Below are 12,132 nucleotides of genomic sequence, written 5' to 3'. Positions count from 1 at the left end.
CAAGAACCAAAAAGATCTCAAACTGAATTAAAAAGATAATCAATACATGTTGACACTGAGATAACAGAGATGTTAGAATTATCTGGCAAAGATTTTAAAGCAGCCATAATAAAAATACTTAAATAAGCCACAAAAAATAGCTTGAAACATAAAAATAGGAATCTATGGCAAGGAAGTAGAAAGTCTCAGTAAAGAAAGTAAAGATATAAAGAAGAACTAAGTAAAAATTATAGAACTGAGAAATAAAATAATTGAAATTAGTAACTCAATGGATAATTTCAACAGCATAATGGATGAAACAAAGGAGACAAAGACCTTGAAGATGCAACAACAAAAATTACTTAATGAGAATAGAAAGAAAATAGACTGAATAAAAAGTGGACAGAACTGGGCAGGAACAGTGGGATTATAATGAAAAAAAAAAACCATAACATTCATGTTATTAGAGTCCAAGAAGGAAACAAAAAAGGTGAGGCTGTAATAGTACTTAAAAAATAATGGCTAAAAATGTCTCTAGGCTGGCAAAAACAGAAACACATTAGTCTAAAGAAGCTAAGTGTGATAGTGTCAGCTGTCAACCTGACTGGATTAAGAAATACTTAGAGAGCTGGAAAAACCTTATTTCTGGGTAGGTCTGAGAGGGTATTTCCAGAAGAGGTTGGCATGTGAGTTGGTGGACTGGCTAGGAAAGATCTGCCCTCAGTGTGGATGAGCACTATCCTATTATCTGAGGGTCCTGATAGAATAGAAAGGCCAAGGAAAGGCAAATTCTTTCTCTTTCTATTCTACAGCTGGAATACCCTTCTTCTGCTAACCTGGTACATCCAGGCTGTCCAGCCTTTGGATTCCAAAACTTACACCAGTAGCCCCTCGGGTTCTTGGGCTTTTGCCTTCGAGAGTTACATGATTAGTTTCCTTGGTTCTGAGGCTTTCAGACTTGGACTGAACCATACGTAATACCAGCATTTCAGAGTCTTCAGCTTGCAGATGACTGTTCACGGGACTCCTTGGCCTCCATAATCAATTAAGCCAATTCCCTTAATAATCCCCTCTTATCTATCTATCATCTATCTCATTGGTTATGATTCTCTAGAGAACACTGACTAATACATTGAGCAAACTCTCAACAGGATAAAACAAAAAATATTACACCAACAGACATGACAGTTAAACTTCTGAAAACTAAAGACAAAGAAAACACATTGAAAGCTGTAAATGAGAAATGACACATTACCAATAAGGCAAAAATAATTCTAATAGGCAACAGATTTCTCATCAGAAACCATAAAGGCCAGAAAGAAGAGAACTACCAACCAAGATTCTTTATCTAATGAAAATATCCTTCAGGAATAAAGAGGAAATCAATATATTATCCAATGAAAGAAATTAACATTAACTGGAACTTTATAAAGGAGAATATTCAAACCTCCAATAAGTATATGGAACAATATTTAACATTATCTACCATTGGAGAAACAAATTGATTCCTCCATGATATACCACTTTTTCACCTATGGAATAGCTAAAATTAAATAGATTTACAGTATTAATAATTGGCAAGGATGTAGAGGAACCGGAACTTGTATTCACTTTTGGTGATTGTATAAATTGGTTAAAAGACTTTGGAAAACTGCTTGTATCTACTAAAGCTAAACATTTGCCTACATCCTGACTCAGAAAATCCATTGCTACTACGTACCTGAAAGACATGAGTGCATAGATTCTCAAAACTCATATCCGAAATGATATTTACGACAGGTTTATTCATATTTCCAAACTGGAAACAACCCATAAATCTACCTATAAGAAAATCGATGAGTGGTAATACACTCAAACAATGAAATACTACCAGCCTATAAAAAAAAACTACTTACATATAAAAAATAGATAATACCCACCTATAAAAAATAAATGCTACCCACCTATTCAAAATCAATACTAATCTATAAAATAATAAAATCTTAATATGCAGAATAATGTAGATTAATTTTATCAACATTATGTTGAGCAAAAGAAGCAGGACACAAAAGAGGATATATTATATAAATCCATTTATGTGAATTTCAAGAATGGACTAAATGATGGTTAAGAAAGCCAGAATAATTAGAAAACTGAGGGTGAGAAATGAACAGAAAAATGAATGAGGGAATCTTCTGCAGTCTTGAAAAATATTGTATATCTGATTTTGGGTTGTACATAAACTATCTTCAAGCTCTACACTTTTGTGTGTGTGTGGACAGGTGGACTACAACTGGCTGAAGTGTGTTTTCTAACACTAAATTATTTGAGATCCTCTAGAAAAAAATCCAAAAAACTAGCTCTGCATGGTGGTGTGTGCCAGTAGTCCCAGTTACTGGGGAAGCTGAAGTGGGAGGGTTGCTTGAACCTGGGTTGAGGCTACAGAAAGCCAAGACTGCACCACTGCACTCCAGTCTGGGTGACAGAGCCAGACCCTGTTTCAAAAAAAAAAAAAAAAATTACAGTTTGAGGTTGAGTTTTTCAATTCCGAAGTCCATGCAATCTCCGTTATGCCATATTGCTCTCCTAAAATAAATAATACCATCTATATCTAATTCTAAAGTTCAGTTACCCTGAAACATGGAAGAGAATGTGTCCTGAATAATAGTACTGATGACATCATATTAATATAGGAACAATTTAACATAATTCATCAATAATTCTGCATAAAATATCACCTCAAGCGAAGATTTATTTATGTTTAAAATTGGAATTTCCCTATTTATATTAAAGGACAAATAAAAGAGTAGGACTTTGGTTACACTCATGGTGTGTGGGTTCAATAGTAGTACTGACAAACTATTTGGAAGGTAGGAGTTTTCTTTTTCTACAAAGATTTAAATTATTTGGATATACTGCAAGACTGCTTTTTAAGTGTAAACATATTTAAAAAGGTAAATGGCACATAAAGAGAAATAAGACATTAATATAATATATAATATTAAAATAATATGTAGTTGGATATAATATTCCCTATGGATCCCTTCAAATTAAGGTATTCTCACTAAATCTCTCCCAACCTATCACTTATCTGGCTTATCTAATTCTCTCTCAGGCTTTCAGTTATCTCTGATGTGCTGAAAATTACCAGTTTTGTAGCTTTAGGCCAGACCTCCCTCCACCTCTCCCATCCCCTTTGCTATCTAAACATTTAGTGGATACTTCCACAACAAAATGCACTATAATAAGCTCATCATCCCATCCTCGCAGTCTATTTATGTATTCTCAAAATCATATTGCAGTATCACAGTTAGCCCAGTCACCCAGATAAGAACATTGTGTCATACTTCACCACTTTCAGTCTCTTTATATCTTTGATTATATGCATATAATATCCTATGCATAACATGCTGTTGCTTTTTGTCCCTCTTATTATTCCTATTTTAACCTTTTCTTTAGAAATAGCTCAAATGACTCTAATTAATACTCTATCTTTAATTCTGTGCATATGTCTATTTCTAATTGTCTAATTATATTATAATCTTGTATATAATATTGCTATATTTTCTATTGGAAGGTAACTGCATCTAGTCCCTTGACATTAAGACTATCCCACACACGCAGCCTTCTCATATGAAGGCAATGATATAAACAGACATTTACTCCTATATATTATACACCAATATTTATGGACTCTTTTCTGAAAACAGACTGAATATCTGAATTAAAAGAGAAGAATATATATCTACAAAAGTTAAGGCTTTTATTTGTTTAGATCATGCTAGGTTGCTTTTCTTTTTCCTGTAAAAGGAACTGAAGGAAATTCTTCCCTTTTTATTCCAAATGAGATCTGACATTTATGGCTGGAGGTCACACTAGGTCCAAAATTTCTGCTCTGAAGAAATCATAAGGGTGTCAAAACACTTTCTCACACTGTTGGTAGAGTTAAAGGGTAGAATTCAGATACTCGGCTTTAACGGTGGAAAATCCGTCTGTCTGCCTCATTCTGTAAGTGAGCCATGCTTCCTTCTCTTGGTTACAAAACCAGTAGGATACTTGAAGAAGGTGAGAGCAATGGGTTGTTATAGCTGTACCCTCCTTGGCAGTATATTTGGGAGAGAAAAAGGAAATGGTGTCTTGTAATTTTTTAAAGAATTTCAATCCAAGGGATTAAAGCACTATCTAATCAACAGGGTGGCAGGAACTCCAGTTTGACTGACATGATCTCACAGATAGTTGTTTTATTTTTAAATTTTTAAATGAATGAATATATGCATGAGAAATGCAAATATAAAATGTTTGTCTTTTGAATATATTTAGCTCTTTTAATTTTCATTTTGGAAGGGAACAATCAACACTTGACTATTTAACCCAAACCACGTTTTCCCAAAGTGTGATTTGCAGAACCCTGATTTAAGCAGCTGTTTGATAGGAATTAAGTGGTAGAAAGACTTCAACAATCAAACACATTTGGAATCACATAGCTAAGCAAGGTTAAATAAGTTTCTTCTCTTCATGAGTTAGAGCATTAGATGTGCAAACATACCTTTGAATCTGTTGGCATATGCAGATTTTCCACAGTTTTTGAATATGGCACTTTTTAATGGATTGTCTCACGATAAAAATATTTTATGGATTTCATGTTACATACAGCATGCTTTGCAAAGTACTACTGTAGACTAACCGTATATATTTTTCTATGTTTTCCTAACATTTCTGCCTTTTTATAAAACTATTTTCCTTTCATCCTCTGTTCCTGTTTGCTTAGTTTTCTGACCTTACAAAGCCCCCACTGAGCATGGCTTAGCAGGAGGTAGAAGCTATTTATTGTGGTGACAAGCTAAGTAACCTAAGAGGGTAAGTGCATAAGAAGAGATAAAAGGATGTTATTCTTAAAAAAAAAAAAAAAATCACTGTTTTTTTCCTGGTCTACTAGATACTTTGTAGACTCATTTCACTATAATACAAATTACTACATAGAATGTCAACCTAAAGTACATCTTGCCTCCAAATCCCTTCTGGGTAGCCATATAAGCTATTCAGCGATTTCATTAGCCTCTGAATTGTCATAATCCACATACTATTAATAGCATTTAGGTACTTGGGTTTAAGTAAAATATAAAATCTAAAAAAAAGAAAGACAAAGGAGGTTAAAAGTGCTATGAAACTTCACTATAGTTAATAGTACATGGGTTCTTTTTCATCAATACCATCCTAACCCTCCTATTGAGTGATTATTATGTTGGATTATTAATTCAATGATTATGGCTTCCTTTTATACTAAAAAGTTCAGGTGTAAATTATGATGGATATAATTCTGAAATTATTTGTTGAAATTCAGCCTGATATTCCTTGTGACTCATTTATTATAGAATTAATAGGTGATTTTCCAAGATTCAGTATTTATGATAAACAAGATTGTTCTGGAATGAAACAACTTCCCGTAAAAGTAAATTACATACACTAAAGCACAGAACCCCACAATGACTTTTTTCTCCCTTTCTATGACTGTAAATCAGATGAAATCATACTATGCTATACTTTATATGCATCTTTGAAGAACTAGTAGAATCCTGAATCCTTTAACAGTTTTTGCCCTAGCCAAAGTTCACATAGTAGATATACAGATGGTATAGTGCAGGCATTTAGCACAAAGCTTTGACCTCAAACTTCCATGTAGAACATACAGTTGTGACTTGGTTAGAATGACCTTTGAGTCAGGGTTATTCCTCTAATGCTTGTGGTCCAAAGCTTTGACTACAACGATAATGAAAATCGCTCCATGCTCTGTTTTTCTGCCTATCTCTATATGTATCTTCTAACTTTTCCCTTTGCTTCCCTCAAAAATTTTTAGCATTTTTAAATTTAGTAATGTTATTCCTTTACTTATTGATTATTGTTGTCAGGTAATTGCATCATTTTCTTCCTGTAAGGATATATTACATTTTTTAAAAAAATCCAGTAATATAAATCTTGATAACTTTTTGAAGAATTGTAACTTTTTTCTTTTTTAATGCATTTTTTTTTCCAAATAAAGATTCCTTTTTGATAGATCTCGAATGAGATCTCTAGTATACTTCATATAGTAGAAAAATTATCCATCATCATTCTTTCACAGATCAAATAATTTAAATCTGGAAAAATAAAATGTTTCCCATTGATATATACCTTCTTAATGGTGAAAACAAATTATATTAAAACCAATTTGCATGTTTGCCATGAAGTTGAGTGGAGACATATTGAAGAGAAATGTATGTCCCTTGTTCTCTAGGGAGGTGCCACCAAAAAAATGACCATTTGTTCTGGCTTTGTTTACAGTTTGAATTTCTGCTTGACTTCTTCAATTGTGAAATCTGGATCTATGCAGGTACATTAGAATATTTTCATACTTTAGTTTCCAAGTAGCTTTCTGCTTAGGGCCAATCCGATATCAACTATTCAGCAGCTGTGAATTAAGCCGGCCTTAGGGTTGGAATCAGATTTCTTTAGTACCCTCATGCATACCATAAGGTTGTTTAGCAAACTGAGACATTTCTTGGTCCCTAGGAAATGAGAGAATATTTCTGTCAGTAACCTGATTTTGGAAATGTGAGTGAGCTCTGGATAAAATTTCATTTTGAGTCTTTGCTCTGCTACTTGTAAGCTATCAGTTTACACAGGCTTCCAGAGTTACAGAAGAGTTCTTTGTTGAAAAAAAATATATTTTTTTAAACTCTATGCTCAATTGTCAGTCAATGTATCACAAGATTGAGCAGATTAAAAGAAAAAGTCTCTAGATCCATAGAAGGCATGTAACTGAAATGCAATTAAATGCTTGATGATGCACATTAGAAGTGCACAGAAAGAACTAAGAGATTAAAGTGCAAAGTTTCTTGAAATTAAATGGTCTATACGAATAAAATCATTGTATAACAATAATTTAAATGACCCTTTTCATTAACAATTCTAACAAATACTCCTCTGTTCCTTCTTTAGGCTAGCCCTGTTTACTGCTGCTTACTCTAGGAAATAGAAATTGTCAGTGAACTTGGAACCATTGTTTACCTGTAAAGTTTGTGTTGGTTTTCAAATATCAGTCCTGAAATAATAGTCTCTTTTCCTCCATTCATGTTTCTCAGAAAGACTTTATTCATTACCACATAGTTCACATGAACCCTACAGGCTTGATAATTTCTTATCTTTCTAATGTCCAGATAGCAATACACAAGATGTACTCATCATCTTAGAGACAAACATGGTGGAATAGAGAAAGGAAAAAAAATATATGTAGTAAAAACTGTCTTTTATATGTCAAAATCACTTCTTAAAAAACATGCTGGGTGAGGTGACTGGCACTTGTAATCCCAGCTGCCCGGGAGGCTGAGGCGGGAGGTTTGCTTGAGGCCAGGAGTTCAAGGCTGTAGTGAGCTATAATTGTGTCACTGAGCTATTTTCTTAAAAAACAAAAAAAGAAATATTATTATATGATAGGCAGAAAGCTGAATCATGAAATACATATTTTTATAGTTCTTTATAATTTTCAATTTGACTTTTTAACTTTATATTTGAGTGTCACGAGAACCAAAGCAGTACACAATACACAAACATTAATTTTCCCATTTTACATGTAATGTTAGCAAGTATTTGCAAAGTGTTTAGTATATTCCTGTTTAGTGAATGTTGAGAATTTGCCTGTTCCAAATGTGTTATATTGATGAGCTTATGTAGGTTTTACAAAACTCAAAAAAAGAAGCACTATTATTTTCCCCATTTATATGTAATGAAGGAATCATGTCATAGAAAGTAAGTAACTTTTCAACATCCCACAGTTTAAGAGTGGTAGAGCCTGAATACAACCCAGGCAATCTGGCCTCATAGAATTTCATCATAACGTTTATTTATTGCCTCTCACATCACAAATAAGGTATAGGGCATCATGAAATTGTGATTTTTTTACATCTTATATAAGCATTATTATAATGAGTCTGTTCTAGAGTTCTTGTCTTCTGATTTTAATTTATGAGAGATTAAAAAAAACCTAGTGCTAGTGAGCATATTGAAATTTCTGAATAAAACTTAGGTCAGTGTTTTTCTCAAGTCCAGTGAAATGATTTAATTTCTAGATGGGTATCATTCTTTTGATCAATAAAATGCCAATCAGGAAACCGTGACCAAATGGTAGCAAGTTTTTTTCAATGGTAAATTATGAATTTGTGAATACATGATACATATGAGCGAAGCTACAGTTGCTACATTCTAGTTAAGTGGAATGAATAGAATCATTATCCAACTAAGATTTATGAGCTCATAACAGGAACTTGTGTAGGTGATTGATATATGTCAGTGAACAAAGCAAAGATCACTATCTTTTATGGTCTACAGACAAGCAAATGAAGGGAAACAAAAAAGAAGCAAAGGAAAAGAAACCCATACTATAGACATAAATTGTAAGGCATTAGGAATTACAGAGAAAAATAAAATATGAAGCATGGTAAGAGGAAATCAGAAATATGAAGGGGCTTATGATGGTGGAATAACTATAGTTTTTTACAGGTGTACAGATTAGGTCTGACATTTGGGCAAAAATTGTAAAGAGGTAAGAAAGGTAGTCATCCAATTTTCTGAGAAAACAGCATTCCAGGAAATGGAATAACTGCTATAAAGGATAAAATGGGGAATGACTGGTATAGTCAAGACATAGTAAAGTGGTCAAGAGAATAGGTTATGTCATTTACATACAATTAAAATGTTAAAAGTATTAAATATTTAAAGATGGTGACAATAAAGAATCAAACAAATTTGGGGTCCTCTTGAGCACTGGACATAAGTTGCATGCCCGTGAAGCTGGCCTTGGTGGTAGACTAAACAATCTTGGTGACAATCTTACATCTTGGGGATGTAAGATTAGAGATGAAGAGGGGCCAGATCTTGTAATACAATATGAGCCATAGAGAGGACTTCTACTTTGACTCTGAGTGAAATGGGGAACTACTGAATGGTTTTGAACAAAAGAGTGACATGTTTTTGCTTATAGTTTTAAAGAGGCCTCTTCTGCTGCTCTTTTAAGACTAAAATGTAGATTGGCAAGGGTAGAAGCAGGGAAAAGTTGCATTAATAATTAATAATTGAGTTGGATGAAAATACTTTTAAGAAATCTGATGTCTTTGCAGTAAATCTAGTAGCTCTACCTTATGTGTAAATATGAATGTATATATGGTATTATAAACATATATTAAGAAGACCAGTTCAAATTAAGAGGACTATGTGGCTTCATGTAAATTGATTATAAGAAATAAAAATAAAACTTGTTCCCAAAATGAGGGTTATATACAGTGATGATTGGCATTATATTCAATGTAAATTTCCAGTTATGGAAATTTCATGTATTATTATATTTCAGTTCTGTTGATAATCAGAGTATACACTTAAAAACATCTAATGAATGAAGGCATATGAATCGTCATTGAAAGTAACCACAAATCTGAGATAAATATGTGTGAAAATATTTTTGGAGATAACATCATTTGAAGGAGGTTGCACATTTGACTCTTAATGGTATTTCTGAGTGGTAACATTTGTCTTGGTCCTTAGTTAATGCATCCTGATAATATATTCCTAATAACAATTTTATTATGCTAGCTTCAGAGTTAAACTGAACAGTTTTTTGTATACATACACATTCTAGGCTTTATAAGTTAAGTTAGATTTACAGAGAGTCAAACATTAATGTTGACAGAAAGTCAAACATTGATTAACATTCACAATATAGAGGAATCCTCCTTCAAGTATTTTTGTCAGCTTTTATAAGGAATATTGAAATTCTGTATCATTATAAAGTGAGAAAAACAGCCAAAGTTAATTAGTATAACCTATACTATAAATAAAATTTCAAGAGTTTATTGTTTTCAAAAACAAAAAGATTTCTAGAGACAAATAATTCATGATCTCTAAAAATTTATTGTAAAAAATAAGCTAGGGTGGGATTCTGGATAGATGGATGCATTGTCAGGGTAGCTTGGTGAATCTCCCCCAATCTCTTAAATTAAAAAAAGATAGATAAATTAATATAGCAAAACCAAATGTCCCATTGAAATATCTACATAGAATCACATGAAAAAATGGTTTCATAAACTCTGAAATATGTGTGTGTAGTCAAACCTACAAAACCCATGTGGAATAAGAAACTGCAAGAGGAGAATCAGAAGAAAAGTAAATAGGTTCTTGCAGCCCTGGAATCTGATGAACCCTCAAGTCACCCAAGATAATCTTCCCAGATTAAACTGAGAAGAGTATCCAAAACTGAGAGGGGGATTTTAGGCCTAAACAAATGGGTGATTTTAAGGAGACTGTTTGAAGGACAGTCTGAGCCCTTTGAAATCTAGAACCTAAAAAGCCGAAGTTCACATCCAGGATAAGACCCTCCGTTACAAAGAAAGTGTTGGAAATATGATGGAAATGAGCAGGACAGAGACACAGGGGAAAAGAGAAGAGTTTAGGGGAATGATATCTCAGAAAGCATGTGAACATGTTTGATAATTTTATAAAAATAACAGAAGAAAAAAGCTCTAGAATGGTGGAGTTAGAAAAACTATGCTGGCTCATTTTTACATTTTGAAAAATACAAAAACATTAATCTCACTTAAAAATGAGTATCTGAAATGTGTTATATATAAATAAGGGAATACTCACCTGTAATCTCAGCACTTTGGGAGGCCAAGGTGGGAGGATCATGAGGTCAGGAGGTCGAGACCAGCCTGGCCAACATGTTTAAGCCCCGTTTCTACTGAAAATACAAAAATTAGCTCAGCGTGCTGGTGCACACCTGTAATCCCAGCTACTTTGGAGGCTGAAGCAGGAGAATCGCTTGAACCAGGGAGTCGGAGGTTGCAGTGAGCCGAGATCGCCCCACTGCACTCCAGCCTGGTGACAGAGTGAGACTTCATCTCAAAAATAAATAAATAAATAGTACTTAAATAATTATGTTTCCATAAAAAATAATTATAAAGAAAAGAGAATAAAAAGCAGGATAACATTCATAAAAGAGTAAAAGCATAATAGAAAGACCTGCTCACAAATTTAAAAATATATCCTGGTATTTTAAAATGATCTAAAATTAGTGCCAAAAAAAAAACAAAAACAAAAAAAGAATGAGTTCATGTCCTTTGCACGGACATGGATGAAGCTAGAAGCCATCATTCTCAGCAGATTAACACAGGAACAGAAAACCCAACACTGCATGTTCTCACTCATAAGTGGGAGCTGAACAATGAGAACACATGGACACAGGGAGGGGAACATCACACACTGGGGCTTGTTGGAGGGTGTGGGGCAAGGGGAGGGAGAGCATTAGGACAAATACCTAATGCATGTGGGGCTTAAAACATAGATGAGGGGTTGATGGGTACTGCAAACCACCATGGCACATGTATACCTATGTAACAAATCTGCATGTTCTGCACATGTATCCTAGAACTCAAAGTAAAATTAAAAAAATTAGTGCTAAAAGAATTGAAGCTGTGAAAGAACAAATTAAATCACAAGTCAAAGAAAATAAGAAATGAGGTCAAGAAAGTATTTGAAAGAAAGAGATATAAAAACAATTAAAATTTTTTAAAAAATAGTCATAGATAATTTCATAAGATATATAAAATACGGAAATATGAAATTTTAATATTCTTAAATGAAAAATTCAAATGGATTTGAGTTAAAGTATTAGATATAGCATATGAGACATGATAAATGAACAAACTAAAATAGGATTTTTTCCCCCTACAAAGCAAAACAATTCAACAGAAAGAAATGTAATTTTTAAATGTAACTGAAAAAAAATCTACTGTAAACAAAATTTTGCAGTGTCACAGTTCATACATAAAGTAACACGAAGTGACCCACAGATTGACATATCACAGGAAAAGTAGTGTTTTAGTAGAAAGGGAAAGAAAAAAATAATCTTTGGATATTTAGGCAGACAGGTTACATAATGTACAAAGAAAGGAAAATCAGCTTGTCATCAATCTTTTTGACAATGCTTAAGACCATAAGACAATGAGATAATATATTTAGAATATTCAAGCAAAGAAAAACTAATATTTTATATTTAGTCAAACTGGACGAGATATTTATTAGGACCATACAACACTCAGAAAAAAAAATTTTCTATGATTTTTTTAGAAATACAGCAGGTGAAATATTTCC

At 33.1% G+C, this 12,132-nt stretch overlaps 1 long non-coding RNA gene across 1 annotated transcript in view, besides 1 other annotated feature; it reads left to right on the top strand.

Moving 5' to 3' along the window:
* LINC02882 (long intergenic non-protein coding RNA 2882) overlaps nt 1–12,132 on the top strand; it is a 159,459-nt gene that overhangs the window by 135,305 nt on the left and 12,022 nt on the right. The window contains exon 6 of the long non-coding RNA NR_038300.1: nt 6,277–6,325. This is a non-coding gene — a long non-coding RNA (long intergenic non-protein coding RNA 2882). The remainder of the gene's footprint in view (nt 1–6,276; nt 6,326–12,132) is intronic.
* Nucleotides 8,792–8,992: a silencer, noted in NCBI's record as "peak1834 fragment used in MPRA reporter construct". NCBI's record gives its function as "represses an SCP1 promoter by STARR-seq MPRAs in K562 erythroleukemia cells {active_cell/tissue: K562}" and the evidence as "EXISTENCE:reporter gene assay evidence [ECO:0000049][PMID:32103011]".

Source organism: Homo sapiens, chromosome 12 (genome assembly GCF_000001405.40).
Source record: "Homo sapiens chromosome 12, GRCh38.p14 Primary Assembly".
Taxonomy (NCBI): Eukaryota; Metazoa; Chordata; class Mammalia; order Primates; family Hominidae; genus Homo; species Homo sapiens.
This window is presented reverse-complemented; position numbering and strand designations above follow the sequence as displayed.